This window comes from Homo sapiens, chromosome 3 (assembly GCF_000001405.40).
Source record: "Homo sapiens chromosome 3, GRCh38.p14 Primary Assembly".
NCBI lineage: Eukaryota > Metazoa > Chordata > Mammalia > Primates > Hominidae > Homo > Homo sapiens.
The window spans coordinates 36,268,306-36,294,578 of record NC_000003.12 but is presented as its reverse complement, the minus strand read 5'-3'; positions in this window follow the sequence as shown (position 1 = coordinate 36,294,578).

The following is a 26,273-nucleotide window of genomic DNA, read 5'->3' as shown; positions in this document are numbered from 1 at the left end:
TGGGGATACCTGACATACCTACATTTTAATGTTAATTTTTAAAATTTAAAATTTCCCCTTATTTCAAAAATTTTAATTTTTAATTATATATTTCTTAACTAATATTCTGGTACCACTTTTGATCTCTTATTGAGTTTACTTTCATATTATATATTTTTACTTGATTAACTTTTAATCTCTTTTTCTAAGTTTATTTTTTTAATATCAAGATTACACATTTTTGTTTTTAAATTATCTTCTAATTTATTTTAATTTCTATTTATTTTAAGCTTATTGTATTGTTTCTTCTTAATTTCCTATCTTCTTGTTATTATTTTGTGATATTTGTTCTCTCTTTCATTTTTACCTATATTTTATATTATTTAGGACTCATTTTTATACTGAGTGGCAGAAAATACAAGGCTTCAGATAAGGTACTAGAGAATAAGACAAAAATCACTTGGAGGGCACTGGGGACTATTTTTCTTTTCAATTTTTCTTAAAGCTCCTCCTGTATCACCTTGTTTTATATTCAACCTTTATTTTTAAAGTTTTAAAAAAATTCCTCAACATGAAAAACTTGTGAGGCCACTCGTTAACAAACCTAAAAAACATTCCAAATGGAATCTTCAGAGTACCTTAAGAAGATACAATCTCCACCTGTCAAGTCAAAGTAGGCTACTATGAAAATGATTAATGACCACAGGCATTAAAGTCAAACAAACAAACCCAATTCACTCAAAAGCCTAAATGGATAAGATGGAAAACTGATTTATTGACCTAAAAGCAGATTGCTTTTAAACAGGGTTGGGATATGCTTATGGTGTTCCATGAGTATTATTATCTTAAGGGCGAATACTTAATACTCGAGTTTCTTTTTAACCTTAAAAGGCGAATACTTAATACTCAAGTTTAAGAAATACTATCTGAGAATATAGAGCAAGACAACAAAAGCACAGAATAGAAGAGATAAATATTAAACACTTGGAGACAAATCCAGAAGCTCTAGTGTCCATGAAAAAAAGATATATGGGAGGAGAGAGCAGCAACTGAGGGATGGAAATAAAAAGCATGAAGACGAAAGGGGAAGAGACAGAGGAAAAGAAGGAAGACAAAAAAGGGAGAGGAGGAGAGACAGGAGCAGCAACAGGAGGAGAAGATATTGCTAAATTCAAGGAAGACTCAGTTTTTCAGATTAAAAGGGCCTACCAAGGGCCCAATAGCGAATGTGCAGAAACCATGTTCAGAATACTAAGCATGCTTTAGAAAGTTACCAAAGTGGAACTTTTTTTTTGTTCTTACCCAAGAACCTGATAAAGAACAAAAAGCAAATCAAAAAAGAACACAAGGAAGACGTTAACAAATATACAGGCACCAAATTAATGAAACACACACACGCAGAAAAAGCCGCACAGAATAGATCAATAGAGCCTAAATATATTCTTTTGGAAAGACTTAAAACTTCAGTAGTCTAATTAAGAAATTTTAAAAAATTGATACCAATTATACAAGAAACAACAACCAAAAATTGAAACTAAATATAGACAGAACTAAATTGAAAACAAGAAAAGAATAATATGCCCAATGTTAAAAAAGCAAAAGGGACATAGCCATAGTTATGGAGGATATTTTTTAAAAAATAGTTAATCATACGCTTAGCTTTATCCCAATACACTTGAAAATCTGGATCTTTTCTATCCAATATTGCAGCCACTAGCAGCACGTAGCTATAGAACACTTGAAATATGGTGAGTCTGAATTGAGCAATGCTATATGTAAGTTACAAACCGGATTTAATAAAAAAAGTAAAATATCTCAGTAATGTTAATACTGACTATATGCTGAATATATCCAACATTTTAGATATATTGGGTTAAATAAAGTATGCTATTAAAATTAATTTCACCTATTTCGGTTTTACTTTTTAAAGATGGGTAATAGAAAATTTGAAATAACATATATGACTTGTTTTTGTTGCTCATAATATATTTCTGTTGAGTAGTGCTGGAGAAGTATCCATTTGTGATCTAGCAGGAAACACGCTTATTCAAAAAGGGGGCTGAAGAGAATATATGCAGCCTAGAGTTAAGAGGAAACAATACTAGATGGTTATTAAGAGTGGGAAGCCCAAAGCGGGCAAGAAAAGGCAATAATTATGGAACCTAGAAAGAACTATAGATAGAGGATAGGCCTGCAATGGGAGTTGTGGCCATAATCAGAACACAAGCTCTGTCCAACTGCAGCCTGGTAGTAAAGTTGCCCTATTCCACTTCGTTTCTCTTCCTCCATGCTAGATAAACATTTACAATTACAAGCTAAATATCTTTTAGTATGTTCAGAAGCCATTGTATTTCTTTTTCGTTGCAAATTTGCTGTTTAGGCCACCTGTTCATGTTTCTAATGAATAGCTTTCCTTTTCTTGTTGATTTATAAGAGTTCCTAATAATTAAGGCAGGTTAACTTTGTCTATTATAAAAGTGGCATATCTTTTGTTTGTTGTTTGTCTTTTCACTTTAAGTATTTTTTCTTATCCTGGCAAAGATTTTTGCTTTTACATAATAAAATGGCATTCAGATGTGACTTCTGGATTTTGTGTTAGGTTTTGATAGGGCTTTCCCATTCCTATTTTTTGGAAAAAAATGCTTATTTAAAAATTCTAGTATTGCTATAGTTCTTTTCTTCCTTCTTTGAATGGTGGTTTTAACTGAAATTTATTTTGGTGCAAAAATGAGAAAGGGGTCTAATTTTTTTTTATTCTTATTTTGGGGAGGGGCAAATGGTTAACCCATTGTACCAGCCTATCTTTCAATACCTATGTTTCTACTACTATTTTTCACTACTTATTTTAAATGTACTTTCTTGCATAATAAATCCATAGTCATTTCAGACTCCTCTGCTCCACCTACCCACTTCTCTGTACTTGTGCCAGTATCATATAGTTAATAAAAGTTATCCTAAAAGTATTACATCAATCTAGTCCAGGCTGACCCCAGCCTTGTGCCAGCACTTTTGCTGTCCCTCCATTCTGTTCTTTCAGGCTGTGCACCTGTGAGGATCAGGAAGCATCAGGAAGGCCCAGAAGAAAGGGGTGGGATGGGTGTTCAGTGGTAACTGTTTCTGAATCTGAGTCGCATATCTGTCTATTGGCTGAACATTAGTTTTGTGTGTGTATGTTTAATCAAGTTTAGATCAGTTAGGGTTCAACGAGAGAAAAAAGCCCAATAAGATGTGTACCTATTAAGAGAGTTATTGTAAGAGGTTGGCTTACATGATTGAGGGGGCTGGCTGTCAGGCTGGAATTTCTGGGCAGGAGCGAAAGCCGCTGCCACAGATGAAATTTCCTCTTCTATCACGGAAGCCTCAGTTTTGCTCGTAGGGCTTTTCAACTGAATGAATCAAGCCCCCTCATATTATATTGGATGGTCTTCCAACTAAAACCTAGATTAGTGTTTGATTGAATAACTAGAAGCAATAATCTAGCCAAGTTGACACATAAAGGTGACCATAGCAGTAGTTTATCATCAAGGTATAATTGACATACAATAAAGTGTACAATTTGGCAAGTTTAGCAGATGTATATAACTGTGAAAGCATCAATCAAGATAATGAATATATCTATCACCCCAAAATTACACTTGAGTCCCTTCCCTTCTGTCCCTCCTCCATTCTCAAGAAATATTCTCAAGATATGCTTTCAGCCACTGCAGAATAGTTTGCATATTCTACTTAAATTGAATCATACAGTAAGTTATATTCATGGCTTGTCATGATTATTTCTAAGCAATGTATCTTTTAAAATTGTTATTGCAAATAGAAACTTTAGTTTCTTTTATTATATTGTGTAACATGTTGTTTTATCTGCTTATAAAAATATACTTTGTATGTGAGTTTCATGACTTATAGACTTTTCATATGCATGTCTAAGAGCTTTTTATTTGATTCTCCTTGTTTTTTCTAGGCATAATGATTATAATCTTCAGGTTGTAATTGTGTCTTTCCCCTCAACATTTATACATCTTATTTGATATTCCTTAATCGCATTGATTAAAATGTCTAGGGCATGCATTCTCAGTAGTGGGCTACCAACCCCAAGGGGGTGAAAAATGGTTCTTGATGGAGGGGTGCAAAACAAATCTTACACTTTTTAATGTATACAGAATGGATATAAATGCACCACATATACAGTATATCTGTGGTATTAAAATTAAATGTGGCACCTAGCACCAAGACCTTGGTTTCTAATACTATCCTTCAATAGAAGGACCCCGCGTTGCCTAGAGAAATGGCTACCTCTAGAGCTGGAGCAGAAAATGTACATAAGCCTGGAGCACCTTGTAGTGCCAAGAAAGTAAAGATGTATTCAAAAACATTAATAAACCCCACAAAATCCACATGATGAGCAAATGTCAGAGGGACACAAGTGCCAACTGAAAGAGCTCCCAATAACCAAAGCTGGAACAATTTGAGCAATAAAATAAAGTAGCATTTGATTTGTTACCAAAGTATTAAACAAATATACATGAATATATATTGATATAAATCAATAACTGAATAAATAAATCAGTGGGGGTTAATACATAAACCCGTTGTGAAAAAGAATTCCAAATGAATTATGTAGATAGACACTCTGCCACCATGAAAGTGGAACAGAACTTCCTACCTTTTATGTTTGTAATGCACACAGTATCTACCCTGCAAAGAGCATAGTGTGGAAAGGAAAAAAACAAAGGGCAATTTTACAGTGGAGAAACCTGACAAACACTACCACAGCCAAGTGATCAAGGTCAACTTTAATAAATAAGGCATACTGATAGTATGTACTCCTAATATGATAGAACAAGAACGGCATTCTTTGATCTTCCTCCTCAAAACTCATAAACTCAGTCTAATTATGAGAAAAACATAAGATAAATTACAAAACAGGATCATCCTGCAATACACTTGACCTCAAAACTGTCAATGTCACCAAAAAAAGGAAAGCCTGGCCAAACGCGATGGTTCACGCCTGTAATCCCAGCACTTTGGGAGGCCAAGGCGAGCGGATCACGAGGTCAGGAGTTCGAGAACAGCCTGGCCAACATGGTGAAACTTGTCTCTACTAAAAATATAAAAATTAGCCGGGTGTGGTGGCACGCACCTGTAATCCCAGCTACTCAGGAGGCTTAGGCAGGAGAATCACTGGAACCCGGGAGCCAGAGGTTGCAGTGAGCCAAGACTGTGCCACTGCACTCCAGCCTGGGAGATAGAGCGAGACTACTCCGTCTCCAAAAAAAAAAAAAAAAAAAAAGCCTGAGAAACTGTCACAGCCATGAGGAGCCTAAGTAAACATGTCAATTAAATGTAAAATGGTATATGCAGGATAGGAATCTGGAATAGAAAAAAAAGGTACTAGGTGAAAAATAAGGGAATCTGAATAAAATGTGACCTTTAGTTAATAGTAATGCTTGAGGATTGGTTAATAATTGTGAAAAGTGTACTATACTAGTGTAAGATGTTAATAATAGAGGAAACTGTGTATGGAGTATATAGAAACTGTATTACATTCACAACTTTCCTGTAAATCTAAAATTATTCTAAAAGAAAGAGTTTATTTAAAGGCAATTAAATGAGGGACGATTAGGGAAAACAAACATCTATAAGGGATCCTTGCAAGAGGGTATGCCATAATAAAAAAAAATTGGAAAAAACTGATCTAGAATTATGTTAAGTATCGTGAGGTTGGACAAACTAGTCCTGTTTCTTATGAGAATAATGTAACTATTTCAACATTAGGCTTTTAATTTTTTCACTTCTTTCATTAAGGAAATATATACTTATTCACAATTTTTGTCAATTTTCATTTTTATTCTAATTAATTTTTATTGAATGACTTTTCATCACTTCTGAATATAATCATATTTTTCTCATTTGACTTACTAATCTGATGACACAGATTAATAGAGTACCTAATATTTAGCCAGCTTTTCATTATAGGGAAAAAATTGCTATTGGAGTAAAATGTTATTGGATTCTGTTTGCTAATATTTTAATGAATATTTCTGTACCAATATTTATAAGTTTGGTTGTGTTTCTACATTATTATGTTTTATGTTATCTTTTACAGGTTAGTATTTATATGAAGCTGGTAGAAATATTTTGGAGATGTTCTGTCCTTCTTTACACTCTGGAAAAGTTTTAATTGTTTCCTTTGTCTTTTCCTTTAAGGGTTGAGTGTATTTAAATTATTAAATTCTCTGTGCCTCCTAAATGTAGGTAGCCTTGTATTTTTTTTCAAAATTCCTATTGTGGTAAATTTTCTTGATAATAATAAGATAAACATCTATGCACTCACTGCCCAAATAAAAAAAATAGAATATTATTAGGCTTTAGAAACTTAATGTATGTCCCATCTGAACTTTATCCTCCTCCCTCACTTTCAGGTTAACAATTTGTTAAATTTTGTTTTAATCATTCTTTTGTTTACTTTAGGTTTTTTATCATATATATTTGTATCCTTAAGCTAAGTATTGCCCAGGTTTTTTCTGTTTTTGTACTTTATATACATGAAATGACACTGAATATATTCTTCTGTGATATGAAGTTATTTACTATAAGTTTCATCTGTATTGATGTGTGCAGCTGTAGTTCATTCATTTTTATGTATACCACATTTGCTAACTTATTTTGCCCTTGATGGATATTTGGGTGATTTCTCACTTTTTTACTTCTTTGAATATTCTTGTAGGTGTCTCACAATGCATGGTTTAAATAATTTTAGTGACATATATATACGTGCATATATATATATATATGTATAGCTAGTACTGTAATTGTGTTGTAGTACATATTTATGTAAGTAGGGTGATGTCAATAGTTTTTGTGAAACTGGTGTACAATTTGCACTTTTTCTGCAGTAAATGAACATTACCTTTGCTCTGTATTCTCACCATTTACTATCATGCTGCTTTGAATTTTTCCTGTGAGATAGAGTAACATGGTATCTCATTGTGGTTTTAATTTACATTTCCTGGAGAACTAATGAGGTTAAACCTTTTTGTTTGTTTAACCATCTATTTATTGGCCACTTGGATTTACTCATATGAGAAGTACCGGTTTTCATGTTTTGCACAGTTTTCCTATTAAGTTGTTAGATTTCTTCTTACAATATTTTTTCTAATACGATTAGAATTATGATTTTTTAGGTTTTAGTTTTTAGGTTTTAGTTGACATTTTAAATTATATAGAATTCATATTTTTCCTTTTCAATTTTATTTTTTAATTGAAAAATAATACTTTTACGTGTTCATGGAGTACATAGTGATGTTGTGATACATATAATGTATAGCGATCAAATAAGGGTAATTAGCATATCCATTATCTCAAACAGTTATCATTTCTTTGTGCTGGGAATGTTGAATGTCCTCTTTCTAGCTTTTTGAAACCGTATTATTGTTAACTATAGTCATCTGATAGTGCTATAGAACACGGGAACTTATTCTTCCCATTAGCTGTAATTTTGTATCTTGTAACAAACCTCTTCCTATTGCTCCCTTCTCTATACCCTTCCCAGCCTCTATTGTCCTCTGTTACACTTTTTACTTCTACCAGACCAACTTTTTTTAGCTTCCACATATGAATGAGAACATGCGGTGTTTAACATTCTATTCCTGGCTTACTTCATTTAACATAATGTCCTCCAGAATTTTTATTTTTAATGTAGTTGACTGTATCATTATTTTCCATTTTCATTTGCTCCTTTTAATATTTTAAATCCATTTCTACCCTGAGACCTATACAGATTTCACACATTTTCCTTTCATATTAATCTACTTAACCCATTTGTGTTTGTTTCTTAAGTTATGAGACTATAATTCATTTCCTAATTTTTATGTAAATATGTAATCATTAAAGGACCATTAGTAAGTAATCGATCATTTTTTCCACTGATCAGAAATGCCTATATCAACAAGTGAAACTTCCACATATATGAGATTCTGTGTCTGTTCTCTCAATTCTCTTTTGTTGTTTTCTGTCATTCTATTTTATTTGTCTATCCTTGTACTTTTAGCACATTATTTTAATCATTATAGCTTTAAAACTCATCTGGATGTCGAATAGGAAAGGTCTTCCATCTTGTTCTTTTGCAGAATGTCTTGGTTGTTCTTGCTCTTCTTTCTTCCTTATAAATTTTACAATGGCTTATTGAGCACCCATGGTGGGGGTTGGGGTGCTTTGAGATTTTGATAAAAGTCATAACAGCTCCATTAGTCAGTTTGGAGAATTGACACCTTTATGAATTTGATTTTTCTTATTTAGAAAAAAGAGTGTTTATTTAGGTCTTCTTTAATTACTTTCATTAAGATTTTATACTCTTCTCTGAAAATTATTTAAAGAACTTTAGTGATATTTTCCCTAAGTACATTGTATTTTTATATATTTGTAAACATTTTAAAATTACATTTTCTAATTGTTAATGACATATGAAATGTGATAAAAATTTTGCATATTGTTTTCATAGGTAACAATCTTGCCAAAATCTGTTATTTATTCTAGCTACTTATCTTACATATGAATTTTTCACATATACAACACATATTATCTGCAAGTGTCAGCATTGTGTCTCTTCTTCCAATCATTACCTGTTCCTTTTCCTCTTACGGCATTGACTAAGACTTTGAGTAAAATATTGAGTAAAAGAGATGATGGCAGCTATCTTTGTTTTGTTTCTCATCCTACTGAAAATGTTTTGACATTTCAACATAAAATAAGTATTTGTTCTATGTTTTTAATGGACAATGTGTTAGTTTGATAGGACTGCTGTAACAAAATACCACAGACTAGGTTGCTTGAATGACAAAAATTTATTTTCTCTTAGATCTGGAGGTTGGAAGTCTGAGATCAAGGTGTTAGCAGGGTTGTTTCTAAGGAGGTCTTTCTCTTTGGCTTGCAGACAGCTGCCTTCTTGCTGTGTCCTCTCACATGATCTTTCTCTGGGTGTATACAGCCTTGGTGTTTCCTTTTGTGTACAAATTTCTTCTTATGTCTTATTCTGTTTAGTGTTGCTGTAATAGGCTATATGAGACTTGGTAATTTGTAAAAAGAGGTATTTTGGTTCATGATTCTCATGGCTGGAAAGTCCAAGATCAAGCAGCCAATCTGGGGAGGGGGTGCATGTGGCTTCAACTCACGGTGGAAAAGCAAGGGGTGGTGTGTGTGTGCAAAGAGATCACATGGAATAAGATGAAGCAACAGAGCATCTAGGAAGCCAAACAAACTTGCTTTTATAACACTGTCTGGTAACTAATCATGTCCTGAGAGCAAGAACTCACTTAGTCTCACAGGAGGGCATTAATCTATTTGTGAGGGATCCACCTCTATTACTTAAGTACCTCCCAATAGGCTCCACCTCCCAACACTGTTACATTGGCAATCAAATTTCAACACGAGTTTTGGTGGGGACAATGACATCTAAACCATAGCATCTTATAAGGACACCAGTCAGTTTGGATTAGGATCCACCCTAACAGCTTCATTTTAATTTAATTATCTCTTCCTCTGCAAATCAGTCATATTGTGAGACACTGGGGCTTAGGGCTTCAAGATGAATTTTGAAGGGACACAATTCAGCTCCATAACATGGTTTTATTTTATTCTGATTAATTTTTTAAAAAATTATGCATGCATGTTAAATTTTAGAAATGCTTATTCTGCATCTATTGAAATAGTCTATATTTTCTTTTATTTATTGAAATGGTCTATATTTTTCTTCACTAGGTCACTAACTATACCAGTTTCTAATTTGTACAGTTTTTTTTTCTAATGTAAGCTTTATGTCTATTCCACATGTTTTGATAAGTAGTATTTGAACTATATTTTGCAACTAAACATTTTCTAATTCTTATATTGATTTCTTTAGACGATTATTTATAAATGTTTTATAATTTTAAAAAGTATACTTTTCCTCTTTACAAAAATTATTTTCTAGCCTAATTGTTTCATGATCATAGAACACACCAGTTCCAATGGTATACAATTTTTGTTGATGTTCATTTGTGGTATAAAGCATAGCCACTTACTGTAAATGATTCATGTGTGCATGAAAACAGTGGGCAATATTCAGTTTTATATATGTGTATTTGATCAATCTTATTAACATGTTAATGTTAATCTTGATTAACATCTTATTAACATCGGTATTCAAATTGTCTACTTAAGTTTTTAAAATTTGATTTTCCTAATTTATTATTTATTGAGAAATTTATGTTAAAATCTGCCATTTGGATGGTAGATTTATTAGGTTTTTCTGTAGAGCTGTTAATTTTCACTATATATATTTTGAGCCTATGCCATTAGATAAAGTTTACTTTTGACTAGCGAAATAAATAAATAAATAAATAAATAAATAAATAAATAAAATATCTAAAACTTCTATATGAAAGTTTGGAAGACAAAAATTAAGCAAGATTTTCTTTAGGTATTTTCCATATAAATACATTAATCATTAGATTTTGCCTTTTCAACCTTAGTCAAATTAGAATTTTATTTTCAAACCTGCACTTTCATATATAGCTCAAATAATCAAATATACAATAATATTAAAGACCTCTATGTATAATTATAATATATAAACTTATAAAACAAAAATTATTACTATCAAAATGGTAAATTAACAAAACCATCATTGCAATAATTGACACTAGCACAATTCTCTATGATAGAAAGTCAAAAAGGACAATAAGGCTTATTTAATGTTTTAAAAAAGAAAAATTCACACATATAATACAAACACAAAATTCTGCTATCCACTGACAAGATCAAATTTTCTAATCGTTAATAGAACATTCATAAAAATGGTTTATGAACTAAAGAACAAAAAACCCAATTAATTTCAAAATCCAGAAGTTATATGGGTATACCATAATGCGACTTTACAATCATATGCTAACTGTAGCAAAATATATCAAAGTACTAAGATTAAATATGTTTTTTCTATAAATAATTGTAAAAGGATTAAGCAGTTGGAATTTAAACAGCATATTCATAAATAATATTTTGTCTAATATGTAATTAAAATTTCAATTACATAGGTCTAAGAAAATGATAGCAGCATCAAAATGAAATAGCTAAACTTTAAAAACAAAGTTAAAATGATTATACGTGTTAACCCCAAAGCACAAATAGTGGTGCATTTCAGTTGCTGCCCTTAGGCATTTACCTATGTAATTATAAACATTGATCTTGCTTTATCTGCTGTATCTTCTCAGTGCTCTCCATCTTGAATAGAAGGGAGATGAGACTTGAGACCGTGGAGGCAGTGAGGTGGATGTGACCACAGTACTTCTTCTGGGAGACCAGGTGAGGAAAGGCAATGAGGGCATTTGAGAATCAGCAAAGGACCAGAATGCCTCTTCAAAACTCATTTCCTTTCTCACCACCACAACCTGAATCCAAGATGTTAGCCTAAATATGTGTGGCCTTAGTTAAAAGTTTGAAAACAACACCATTTTCTTCGTTGCCCTTAATTAGCCACAGGAAGAATTTCATGTACAGCACCACTTTATCATTTTATATTTTTAGATTTAAATTTCTTGCTTACAACACCCTCTGTGACACTTGGACATCAACTGTGTTGGTTTTGTCTGTGTTTACAGAGCTGATAAAGCACGTTCTCTTTGATTTAGCACAGCTGTGTGGCAAGCAAGCTCTTGCAGAGCCAAAACAAGAAAATAAACTATCCATAAAGCTTTAAAAAAGTCCAGTTAGAGTGACAGGATTTTCTACGTTGCCTGCTGAATGTGAGATCACCTAGTTACAGAGATTATGGGGAAAATGTTGCTTTTTGCAAAAATGACCCACTTGTCTGTATAGCATGAAAGACACAAAATCTGTTGCCTTATGCTTGAAAGAATGAAAACTTCAGCACAATAGAACAGAGAAAAATCTGAAACTGAAAAAGGAATTGGATCTATGCCACTTAAAAAATTATTGAACACATACATATGTTCAGAAAAATGTAACTATGTATGCTAAGTATGAAGCTTGTAAATTTTTTACAAAATGAACATGCTCAGGCATCCAGCACCCAGATAAGGAAATACCATATTGCCAGCATCCCGAAACACGTCTTGTCTTTTCTTTCAGGCAATTCCCCATGTTTCTTAAGAGTAATTACTTTCCTGACTTTTAACAGAACAGATTAGTTTTGGCTGTTCTTGGACTTTCTGTAAATTGCACCATGCCACATACACTTTTTTGTGTATGTTTCTTTGCACAACCTTTTGTTATGGTAATTATTCATATTGTTACATGTGTTGTATACCCTCCGTTTTCATTGCTCTATAATGTTTCATTATATGAATATATTGCAATTATTAATGGTTGATTACCATTTGTGTAGTTTCTAGTTTGGGGTTATTAAGAATGATGCCTTTATCAACATTCTTGTATGTGTCTTCTAATATACATTTTAGGCATTTCTGTTGGAAATAGACCTAAGAATGGAATTTCTGGTCACAGATATGCATTTATTCAGGTTTCAGAAATAAGTGGCAAATAATTTTTCAAAATGGTTTTATTAATTAATACTCTTAACAGTGTCTGAGAATTCTAGATGTTTAACATCATTGCAAATACTTGGTATTCTCAATCATTTTTATTTTAACCATTGTAATATGTATGTGTGTGTAACAACATTTTTTGTGATTTTAATTTGCATTTTCTTTATTACTAATGAAATTCAGCAGCTTTTTAATGTGGTTCTTGGTCACGCGCATATTTTCTTTTGAGAAACACCTAAATGTTTGCCTGTTTTTTATTTGGTTGTCTTTCTTTTTCTTTTTGAATTCTTTATTTTGGACACACATTGTTTAGTGTATGCATATGTGGTAAGTGCTTTTCTCACTCCCTTTCTCTTTTTTAATCTCCCATTATGGGTTGCCCTTTCAGTTTCTTGTGATCTTTCACATTTTGATTGATTACCTGTATTCAATCTGAGTTTTATCTGAGTGGAGTATGATGTAATAAAAGATTCTCTATTGCATTAGAGTGTCATCTTTAACATAAATCAGATGACTATATATTTTTGGGCCTTCTTATGTAATTTTGATTTTAGTTCTATTTGTCAAATTTTCTATCCTTGGGTCAATATCATACTGTTCTAATTACTATGGCTTGTCATGATATATTTTTCTTTAATATTATTGGATATAGTCAATATTGGATATATTTAGAGTTTTGCATTTCCATTTCCACTTTAGAAGCTGTGAAAATTAGTGCAAAAAAAGCTTAGAATTTGATTGGGATTGCATTTTCATTTTAGATCGATTTAGGGAACATTTGAAATTTTGTAATACTGAGCCTTTCAATCCATAAATATAGCATATCACTCCATTTACTTTGGTCTTCTGTAAGTTCTCTCAATAATGTTTCATAGTCTTAATGTAGAGATCTTTCAAATCTTTTACTAAATTATATTTGATAGTTTTGGGACTATTTTAAATGGTATCAGTTTTAAAATTTAAAATTTGTTATTGGTGTATGGTAGTAATACACTTTCTTTTTTTACAGTAACTTCTATCCAGCAATTATAATAGATTGTAGAGTTTTTTAGCTCTTTTAGTAGGTTATTATGTCTGTGAATAATAATAGTTTATCTCTTATTTTGTAATTTTTATGCTTTTTTTCTTGTGTTATACAATGCTGGTGCTTCCAGCATTTTGAATAGAAGTCACAATGTGAACACATATTTACCTTGTTCCCAATCTGAGGTAGAAAATTTTCAGTGTTTTACCAGTGAGTGTGCTGCTTTCAACAAGCATCCTGATGCTCCATGTTCTCACCAGCAATTAGTACTGTCAGTTAAAAAAAAATTAGCTATTTTAATAGCATGTGCTGATATGCTGTATCACTATTGTGGTTTTAATTTGCAGTCCCCTAATGACACTTTACGCTGTTGTGAATTATTTCTTGTGCCTGTTGGCCATCTGCATGTTCTCTTTGGTAAGGTGTCTGTTAATATTTTCTCAGCTCTTTATTGGGTTGTTTGTTTTCTCATTATTTAATTTATAGAGTACTTTATATCTTCTGGATACAAGTCTTTTTAATTAGATGTATGTTTTGAAAATATTTTTCTCTAATCTTCTGTAGGTTGGCTTTTCTTCCCCTAGCAGTATAATTAAAGCAACAAAAGTTTGTAATTTTGATGAAGTTCAATTAATCAGTTTTTTTCTTTTATGGATTGTTTGGTGTCATGTCTAAGAAGTCTTTGCTTAACTTAAGGACACAAAGATTTTGTCCAACATTTTCTTCCAGATTGTTAGAGTTTTAGCTCTTACATTTTAAGTCTATCATGTATTTTGTGTTAACCTTTGTGTATGGTGTGAAGTATGTGCTGAGCTTTGTTTTCCTTTCTTTTTCTTTTGCATGTGAACGTCCAATTGTTCCAGCATCATTTATTAACAAAATTATCTTTTTTTTTCTAAATTGCCATTGTAACTTTGTCAAAAATTAGTGGTCTGGGTATGTGTGGATCTGTTTCTGGACTTTCTATTTTATGTCATTGATCAATTTCTCTACATGTATGTCTATGCCATGTTGTTTTGACAACTGTAGTTTTATAATTATTCTTGAAATCAGGTATTTGGGTTATCTTTGTTACATCTTTTCAAAGTGCTTTGCCCATTCTGGATTATTTTTAATTTCCATATACATTTTGAATACATTTTTCAGTTTCTTAAACAAAAATGCAACTGAAATTTTGATTGGGTACTGAATTCTACATTGAAAATTTTCCCTTCTTTATTACTTTAAAGGTAATTCTCCCTTGTCTTATCACTTGCATTGTTTCTGCATCAGTTCTTAATTGCTGCCATAACAAATTATTGCAAACTCAGGGTTTTAAACGACACAAATTCATTATTTCACACTTCTGTGAGTTGTTAAGTCTAATATGGGTCTCGGTGGGCTAAAATCAGCAGGTTGGTTTACTTTCTGGAGGCTACAGTAGAGAGTTTCCTGCCCAGTTGGGTTGTTTTTAGAATTCAGCTTCTTTGGAGTAGGATCAATGTTGCTGTTTTATTGCCAGCTGTAAACTGATGGCTGTTTTCTGAGCTTCTAGAAGGCACAGCATTCCTTGGTTTGTGGCCTCCTTCTCCCCATCTTCAAAGTCAGTAATAGCAAGTAAAGTCCTTCTTGCTTCACACTCTGATTACAGTCAGCAAAGATTGTCTGCTTTTAAGGACTTGTGGTTATATTGTGCTCACCTGGATAAGCTGCTTTTAAGGACTTGTGATTATACTGGGCCCACCTGGATAAGCCAGGCTATACTCTTCATCACAAGGTTTTAACCTTACTGACATCTGCAAGGTCTCTTATAACTATAAGGTAATATATTAATAGGTTCAGAAAATAAGGGCATGAAAACATTTGGAGAATGATGTGGTTTGGATTTGTTTCGCCACCCAAATCACGTGTCCAATTGTAATCCCAATGTTGGAGGAGGGGCCTGGTGGGAGGTGATTGGATCGTGAGGGCAGACTTCCCTCTTGCTGTTCTCCTGACAGTGAGTGAGTTCTCACGAGATCTGGTTGTTTAAAAGTACGTGGCAACTCCTAACTCTCTCTCTTCCTCCTGATCCAGCCAGGTAAGATGTGCCTGCTTCCCCTTCACCTTCTGCCATGATTGTAAGTTTCCTGAGGCCTCCTCAGCCATGCTTTCTGTAGAGCCTGCTGAATGGTGAGCCAATTTCTTTTCTTTATAAATTACCCAGTCTCAGGTAGTTCTTTATAGCAATATGAGAAGGGACTAATACAGAGAGCTATTAGTCTTCTTACCAGTTTCTAACAAGAAATCCACTGCATTCTTACCTTTGTTCTCTGTATAATGTGTCTTTTTGTTCTGGCTTCTTTTAAGATTTTTCTTATCACTGGTTTTGATCAATTTAATTATAATATGTTTTGGTGCAGTTTTCTTCATGTTTCTTGTGCTTGGAATTTTCATTGATCTTCTTGAGTCTGTGATTTAGTAGTTTTCATCATGTTTGGAAAAATCAGTTATTATTTCTTCAATTTTTTGTTTTCCCCTTCCATGTATATAATATTAATATATTATATTATATATAATCATATATAATATAACATACATAACCATATAAAAATACTTATGTTACATATATTTTATATAATATCATATGTTATTCATATAATTAATACATAATATTATATATTGTATATAATAATAATACTTGAAGTGGCCAGAATTTACTGAGGTATTTTTGGTAGTTTATTTCTCTGTTTCCTTTTGGATTTCTATTGCTATCTGTTGGAATTCATTAATCTTTTTTTTTCCCTGTAACATCTAATCTTCCATTAAATGTATATAACATATTTTTCACCCCAGTCATCATACTTTTCATCTCTAGTTTCATCTCTATAAGTCTGATTTGGATATTTTTATATATTTCTTGTACTTTCTTTTCTTTTTGAACATCTGGAATTCAGTTATAATAAATGTTTTAATGTTCTCATCTGCTATTTCCAATATCTTTGTCAGTTCCAGTTCAGGTGTGATTGGTTTTTTCTCTTCATTATGAGTGATGTTTTCTTATTTCTTTGCATGCCTGGTAGTCTTAGAATCTCAGAATAGATGCAAGTCATTCTGAATTTTACCTCACTGAGTGCTGGAAATTTTTGTATTTCTATAAATATTCTTAAGCTTTGTACTGGAACACAATTATCTTACTCAGAAACAGTTTGATTCTTTTGTGTCTTGTTTTTATGATTTGTTAGATGGGACTAAAACAGCATTTAGTCTAGGACTAATTATTCCCTACCACCGCGGCAAGTACCTTCTGAGGACTCTACCCAGTTCTCTGTAAATTATGAGCTTTTCCATTCTGGGTGGTGGCAGACTCTTCTCCGTCTTGGGTAGGAACCTGGATCTCGTCCTCTCTGGATGATTCTCCCCCAGCCTCTGGTAGTTTCCTCACAGGATCTCTGTTGAATAGGTGGCAGGGATTCTCTGAAGATTTCTTAGTTCTTTCTGAGAAGCTCTCTTTCCAGGACCCTATCCTACAAACTCCAGCAGCCTTGGTATCCCAGAACATCAGGTCCACCTCCTCACCTCAGGGAGTTTGCTGGGCCCACTTGGATTCCCCTCTACCATGGATGGGAAACTTTCTCAAGGTGGTAAACTGGGGCAATGGTTGGTCTCTACTAGTTTGTTTCTCATCTTTCAAGAATCAGTTTCATGTTGCCTGAAAAGTGTTTTAAAAGCTATTTGTTTTATTTATTTTGTCTGTTTATTCTTAATAATTTTTAGTTGTTTCAGGGATGTGTGTATATCTTATTCCTGTTATTACACCTTTCTCAAAATTGGTATTATACTAAATTTAAAAATTACCATTGTCCACACTTTTCATTCATAGAGCCCTTTGATCCATTCCCAGTTAGTATATCTACACAGTCATCAATCTATGCATCTTTATGGAATGGAATAAAGCTTTATGTTTTAAATGTAATGTATGTGCAACATGGAGATGAAATTGACTTGCCAATCATATAAAGTAGTTAGACTGTCAGAGGTTGGAATTGATCAAAGATGGTTGGAGAGTTAATGATCTTTCAGGAATTTTAATGAAGATAGTCCACAGAAGGGTTTTCTATTGGAGAAGTAATATCACTTTCAGCATCATGATAATAGGACACATTATTGTCTTTATTGAAATAACTCACACCCTGGCTAGCATTGACATCTTCTTATCAATAAATATGTTTGACATTTTAGAGGACATTATACAGGGAAATATGCTCTGCATTCTGATCTAAATACCATACAAGGAAAAAAAAGCCCAATTCTTTAAATATTCTAGAAGCATGAGAATGTCCTTTCTCCCAATCTTTAGTTTCCACATTATACTGTCTCTCAATTTATATTGATTCTTAAATCCAAATAGTGTTCTTCATCACTCTCCTGCTCCATAAGTAGTTATTATCAATTGACAGGATTACTGACACAGACTCTTAATGGTTCATTACTTTAAGTACATTCTTAATGTGCCTCTTTATGAATGCTCTTAAAATGCAAACTTGAACACATGACTCTTGTTTAACCTTTGATGGGCTTCTTGTTTGAAAATGTTGGTGTGAAGTTGGTACTTTCTCTTTCTGGGTTTTGTAGTCTTAAAAACTGAGACAACAAGACCTGGAAAGACAGCCTTAATCTTTAGTGAAACTAAGATAAATCTGAAAACTCACACCACAAATCGACAAAACAATTACTGTACAATATAAAAGAGATGAAAAGACGGCACTCAGAAAAAGCCAAATGAAAGCACTTCCCTCAGTATGTGTCATGGCTCCGAGTAAAACACTAACAGTTCTTGTTTGGAATGGGAGGCATTGGGTGCAGGACCTGGCAGCAAGAGCTTCCTAGAATTCCGATGATACAGAGTCTGAAATAATAGAGCATTTATGTAGAAAATAGTCTGTTAATAAGGCAATTTTAAAAAGAGACATTCACAATGTGAGGAGGAAATAGGGGCCATCTTGGTTGTTGGGAAGATGTTAAGGCTGAAAATATGTAATAACGTATATAAAACTCTGTCTCACAAGAATTCCTGAAAGTCTTTTCCATGAACTGCCTGCTTCCAGCTGATCCAGGAAGAATGAATCTTATTCAAATGTGAGCAATAAACAAAAAGGATCAAAAACAGGTCTTTCACAAAATATAACCAATGAAATCAACAACAATGACAACAACAGATGACTGAAGGAATAAGGAAAAAATTGCCAATAGAAATATTTACATCACAGTGGAGAAGGTCAAATTGTCACTAAATATCTCCATGGGTTAAAAAAAACATAAATGAAGCAATTGCTCAAAAACAAAGGCTCAGAACAAAAGATATGAAGAACAGAGTGAACAGGAAAAGATATGAACAGGCCGAGTGAACAGGAAAAGATAAAATGTAAGTTAAATAGATCTGATAAAAAAATAAATAAGAAAGAGACAGACAATTTAATTTAAAAATGATCAAATGATCTGAAAAGGTACTTTAAAAAACAGGACATCCAAATGACTAATATTCGTATTTAAAAAGGTCTACCTCAGGAGTAGTCTGGAAAAAAAATTTAAAACAACTTGAATGACTAAAATGAGAAACAACTTCACAATACCAAGTCTTGTTGAGGATGTATAGAATGAGGTGAATTTCCATATAGTACAGATGGGAATGTAAATTGGTAGCCTTCTTTGGAAATAAGTGGGATATTATATAATAAAATTGAAAATATGTATACTCTAATAGTCAATAGTGTTATTTACCAATATTTTTAGTTTTCCTTTTTTGGGACACTTGATGGAATTCTTGTTTCTACCCCCTTTAACTTAGGTATGACCATGTAATTTGCTGTGTCCAGTGAAATGTGAGCAAAAGCAAAATATATCACTCATTTCTGCATGGATGCCTTTAGGTCCAATGCATGATTTGCCATCTTCTATTTTCTCCAGCACAGCTGCCAGTTATTTTTTAGATGGTGGAAATTCTAGCACCCTAACTCACTGAGTGAGCTCCCTGATTCCCCCAATGCACCCAAGGTAGACATAGGGAAATGTAGAATATGTGAGAAATAAATATTTGTTGTTTTGAACCATTGAGATTTGGGAGCTGTTTGTTACTGTGGTGTAGCCTGATTCATCCCTGACTGACTCGCAGACTTTAATCCCCTCCTAGTTATATGCCCTGGAATACCAAACCTTTTTTGTGTCATGTATCTTTGGCCATCATGCAAAGCCTAAGAATCTCTTCTCATAAGAACTTAAGCTTTTAAAAAATACATAAAATACATACAATTTGTGAGAAGAAACAACTCTATCAGAATATGGCTATCAAATACTAAAACAATAAATTTGTGCTATAGTAAAAATTATTCATTTTTATTAACGTATTAAATAACAGCAGCAAGTAGGGGGTCTAATAACTACAATAATTTCAAAATAGTAATGAGCACAAATGATATTTCTAGATATTTACAGCCATAATGAGATATAAAATTTTGTTATTTTTATCAGTGACAAAAAATACAAAGCATACAGAGCTACTTATGACAAGGTTACAGGCACAGGTATTGTGTTTCTCTCTTGTCTGCATTTGTAATGAAAAGAAATGCTGCATTTCAGTTAGAAGGTAATAAAGAGACAGATTTAGTTTTTTTTTTTCCCATTCACGTTCATGGACTCTGTGAAATCTATCCATGGATCCAAGGGTTAAGGACCTTTGCCTGGAGAAAGATGTGCATGTGTACATCAGGGTACACTTCACAACATTGTTTGTAATAGTAAAATATTGGAAAGATTATCAATCATATTAAAAGAAAAAGTGAATAAGCAACAGTGCATTCATACAATGGGAAATTATTTAGCAGCAAATTTAACAGTCTTCAGTTTTACACAGCTACACAAAATTAAGCATACACAGTATGTAATTCCATCTATATAAAATTCAAAAAATAGGCAAAGCCAAATTATAATGTTTACGTTGCCTACAGAGGTGCTAAAATTATAAAGAAAAGCAAAGAGTGGCCATTACAAAAGTCAGTATGTTTAGCTCTAAGGGAGAGGAATAATGTTAAAATTGGAAAGGATCATGTGTAGGGGCTCTGGGTTACTACAAAGGGTCTATCTGAGGACTTGAGCAGTGGTTATGTAAGTTTTAAGTACATAATAATTCATTAAGTATGTTTATATTTCATTCCCCTTTCACCTTTATGTATGAGTGTTATATTTTAGAATTAAATGTTTATTAAATAGAAAAAATTGTATTAGAGCATAGAAATATGGCAAAGCTAATACATAAGTGCAAGATTTGATTCTTTTGGAAAAAATAAAGTTGAGAACCATTAGCTAATTAACTTTGAGATAAAAATGAGAGAAAATGTATAAATACTTCAAATTAGGAATAATAATGGGGAAATCAACACAAATACAGGAAAATTAAATTAAAAGACTCATTGGAGACTACTTACTCAGATTTATATAATACATGTAAGCACCTGCAGGAAAGAAGTGATTGTTTAGGGAAATTATTGAAGCTAACCCCCGTAGGGGCAGAAAATTTAAACAAGTTCATTAGTATAAACAAATGCAGAAAGCTGTCAAAGATTACCTCCCTATAAAGGTATGGATTGTTTCAGAATTTTAAGGAAAAAATAATTCCGATGGTATTTAAGTTATTTAAATATCATGGCATAAAAAATTAAGGAAAGTTTCCAAATTATTTTTATAAAGCAGGTATACATTGTTTAAAAAGTCTGCTGAAGATGGCCTAATAGAATAAAAACAACAAACCAAACTCAGTTATAAATATCAATGCAAATGTCTTAAAGTACAGCATATCTATTCCAGTGTGCTTGCCTTGCTTGATGCTTCAGGAGATGTAGTGATTGACAAGTTGCTGTGCCTGCCCTCATGTAGCTAAATTTAGAAAAAGGGATCAAACTATAACCATGACTTTGCTATATAGTAGAGTAATATAAGAACTATCACAGATGACCCATGTATTGCTGTGGGGGCTCAAAGGAAGGCACTTTGATATATTTGGTCTGGGTATACGAAGAACAACTGGGAAGAGCTGTTCTTTGAGTTGTGTGGTGAAGAATCACAGCTAAGAGCTGGCCTTGTTATAAGTCCAAGTCCCATCTCTAGGACTCAATTCATAAGTTGTTTAATTACTCATCCTTATGTTCAGGCTCATCTTTAGACTCTGGGTGCCCTGAAAAGCACAGGGACATAGTAGGTTGCTCTTGTAGGTACTGATTGCTTTCCTTGTATAAAACTAGCAGATCTCAAATATGGCCACAATTCTTTGCAGCTCCTTCTATCAACAGGTAGAGTCTATTTTCCTGTCCCTTAAAGCTAGGCTGGCCTTGTGATTTGCTCTAACAGAATATTGTTAAAATGGTGGTGTGCCAGTTCCATGCTCAGTCCTCAAGGAATCTTGCAGTTTCCACTTGCTTTTCTTGGAGCAAAGCGAACAAGCCTGGATTATCTGGTGGGAGGATGAGGAACTTTGCAGGGAGAGAATCGAGTCATCCTAATCATCTCAGCCAAACCCCAGACTTGTGAGCCAATCAAGCCAAGCCTAGCTTATACCAAAAATTTCTTACAAACTTCTGCCCTTACTAGACTGCATTTAGAAATTATTCGGTATTCTTCAGTGTTTAGCTGTTTGTAAGACGTGAAGTTGATGAATTTAGGTGAGCATTTCTAAGACTGTAATGCACGTGAAAGCTATTCAAGCATAAGTTAGAAATCTAGTTACTACACTGATGAATGGTAGGGTTTAGAACAGATATTTGGCTTCTAGGCTTTAGCTCCTGCACCACTAAGTGAGGGAATAGAGTTGGGTCTCCATGGTCCCACTGAGTCTGATGTGCTCTAATTTGAGCACTTCCTGTTATGTTGACTCACTTCCCTGGTCTGCTGGACACTTAGAGTCAGTAGCAATTCTTTTTATAACAGAAAATAATTTCTATCTTTAAATTTATATTATTTTATTTAGTTTTAATTATGCTAGCTATTAATATACCAGAAACTCACATTCAGTGTACAAAACTAGAGTATCCAGATGTGAATAAAGGATTTATATTCCCATTAGTTAGTTATAAACAATGCTGAGAGTGTTAACAGTTCATCTTTAATTCTATTCCTACATGTACTCAAAAATAGGATTATAATTTAATGTGCATATTGTCCTACCAATTGATATTTCTGTCAAAATATATATTTATAGGTCTATATGTTGAATAGCATGGTGCAATATTCTATAGATGCCCATAATTTATTGAACTGCCCAACTACAATTATACATTTGAGCTATTGCCAATTTTTACACTTATCAATATGTTGTGATAGACAGAACTAAATTCCCTAAATTTGGGAAGTGAATGTTTGCAAAGCAGAGTAGCAAGCAGAGCTTTAGTGAGGACATTATACCAATGATAAACAATAGACCTATATTTTTATATTCTTCATTTTGGAGTCACGTGTTAGTCACAGTTTCCTAAATTCATGTCTGAAGTGGGACATCGAAAAATTCTAAAGAAAATGAAAGTGTCTAGACCCCTACTGAATCTAATTAAAGTCTGGGTCTCTGGGGCAATCTTTGGATGTACAGCTAGCAAAAGCTTGCAAAGATAGCATTTGTCTAGTGTATTTGTTTATTGACCTAATTAGAAAAGTGCAAGAGAATAAACTACTTTTAAAACCTTGTTCCGATTAGCTATAGATGATAAGAGGTCCCCAAACTCTAAAACACATTCTGAGATCAATAAAAAAAAAGCATCTAGAAAAATAACCTCTTATTTCATTTCCAGACAGGCAGCAGAATTTCATTTTAGCCACAAAGCAAGATTTAGAAGTCCATAAGAAATGATATAAGCAGGAGCTATCCTGGGCAAGAAACTACAAAATCTGAACATGCAAAGACTGGATAATAAACATGTATTGTATGCTTGCTTCCTAGATTGTTACAAATGGCCCCCTCCATACCCTGCAGATCTTTTTCCCTCTTCTACTAATTTTTCTTGACTCCCCCCAAATTTTGTCCATCTTACATATACCATGTTAGATAAAGTTTTAATACTTTGAATCAGGTCTAACTTAAAACATACATACTCTTTTCTTGTCTGTCTTTCTCACTAGAGTGTGAGGTCATTGAGGGCAGGATCCATGTGTTATTTTGCGTTGACTGCTTCTGGCACACAGGAATGATAATTGTTCCTGTTTGTTAAGTATTGTGCCTTGTGCTAAACAATTTACATAAATGGCAAGTTAATTGGTTAAACTCTTTTTCTCCTTGTAGTTTCACCTCCTTTCTTGGTTTTCAGTGGGTAATCAGGCTTTGTGTTTCTTTGCCTCAGAAATCTTTGCAGGGCAGAAAGTAGAAGTTGTAGATATCATTAGCTCTTCCTAATGTTTAAGACTAGAAAGCACGTACTTGTTCGCTTAGGATGGTGAGGTAGAAGAATGGAGTGATTGTGAGGTGAGAGAAAGGAAGAGAGACAGCAATAAACAATCTTCCCAGCCTGCAAATATTGAAGATAAGTTAGAGGTCTGGGCTTCTGGAATGTAATATGCCTAGTTTTAAAACCAGGAAAATCTGTATCAAACTTGCATGAGTTAGTCACCATAGATGGAGTGATGATGCTATCAAGGAAGGCAAGACCTTTAATGGGAGAGTCTGTGATATTCATCTGGAGGGAGGGGTGATTCCAGATATAGGTGCCTTTAAACTTGCTAAAGATTCTCTTGCCCCAGGTAAAACTCAGAAATAACAGAACTGCTGTATCTGAAGACACAATTAAGTCTATGACAACAGACATTTCAGTAGAAACCAGTGTAGATGATTAGAGTTCTTGGATGTCTTGGTGTCACCACTATTTATTGATCTGTGCCAGGTATTGTGTGATGAACTGGGAATACATTTGTCTAACTAGTATCATGGGGGTAGAGGATGGCTAACAAGTCACTGCCCTTGAAAAACTGAGTAATACAAAATAAAATATACCTTTTTATTATTTTTAAAGACAGGATCTCATTCTGTTACCCAGGCTAGAGTGCAGTGTCATGATCATGGTTCCTGGCCTCCTGGGCTTAAGTTATCCTTCCCCTTTAACCTCCTGAGTAGCTGAGATTACAGGCATGGACCACCACACCCGGCCAAATAAATTTACTTTTGTTCCAAAAGAGGGAAGTATGAGGGAATGTTCAATGGGAGACAGAGGTACTGGATGCCATCCTGGATATGATGATGCCATTGGGTAAGTGGTCAGTCACTACATCTGTGAGTTTATGTGTAGGAAAATAAAGAAATCTAGGGCACATTTAAGACTTCCTCAAGGAGCTTGCAACTTAATGGGAATTAGATTACACATACACCTCAACAACTTAGGGCAATTCCAAGGTAGCAGATGCAGGGCAAATTAATGTAACAAGAGAAGAACTGAAGTCCTCAGAGTCCCAGACAGAACCACTGTAACAATGTGGAATGAGTATATCTCCGTGGAGGAAAGTTTTGAATCCTAAGGGTATACATGTATAGAGAGAGACTGGAAAATAAAGTGAAAGTAGAGTAGACTTTGAAACTTTCAGAGTGAAAGTAAACCGAATGGACAGCTTTCACATGGTTGAGCTGCCTCCCTTTTCTGGAGGTGTGCTAGAACAGAAGAGACAATATCTGGAGAAAGGGTTGTAGGGGGATGAGACTGAGAGTGACTTGACTATTTTATGTCAATAGAACAATCTGGCTGCCATGCTGAGAGCTCTTCAAATTTTTTTCCAAACTTCAAGTAACATATTCACTTTCACTCACCAGCCTTGTTTCCTTTGAAACTTTGCCCTTAAGAAGGTAGCTCTGGGTCATAATTCCTTTCTTCAATCAGAACCAGTATTCTTTGTCTTGTTTTATAGATTTTCATTAGTTTTATTGAGGTTCCAGGTAAGATGTTTGAAATCTGCTGAAAATGTTTGAAATTTGCCACACTGGACAATGACTATGTAGTCCTTGAGGATGGAAATAGTTTTTGGCCACCGTCTGTGGTGAACACAGAGCTTGTCCAAGGGAGAGGCACAATAACCATCCTAGGAGTGAACTGGGCAGGCCTAAGCACACTGAACGTTGCCAGAAGTCAGGCAAATAGAAAGACAGGAGGTTTGTGCAATCACTTTAAAAGCACTGGTCGGTCAGGCGCGGTGGCTCATGCCTGTAATCCCAGCACTTTGGGAGGTTAAGGTGGGTGGATTACGAGGTCTGGAGAGTGAGACCATCCTGACTAACACGGTAAAACCCCGTCTCTACTAAAAATGCAAAAAATTGGCCGGGCGTGGTGGCATGTGCTTGTAGTCTCAGCTACTCAGGCAGCTGAGGCAGGAGAATCGCTTGAACCCAGGAAGTGGAGGTTGCAGTGAGCCGAGATCGTAGCACTCTACTCCAGCCTGGGTGACAGAGTGAGACTCCATCTCAAAAAAAAAAAAAAAAAAAGAAAGCACTGGTTACGCTTTTCAAAATGTTTAATAAAGTATAGTCATACTGTCCTCTGTCACACAGAAAGAACCCTTCATAAATGAGGCTTCCAGTTAAATGCATTTTTTCCTCGCGAATTATCAGCAGGAATGGCCTTCCTGCAGGGTAGCTCTCAGGATCTGAGAGGGACTAACAGTTGCGTCAGGAGAACTCTTCCCCTAATAATAAACTACCATAATTGTGTTATATTTGTACTAGGAAAATATGCTGAGACTCACTGAATCATAGAAAAACTTCC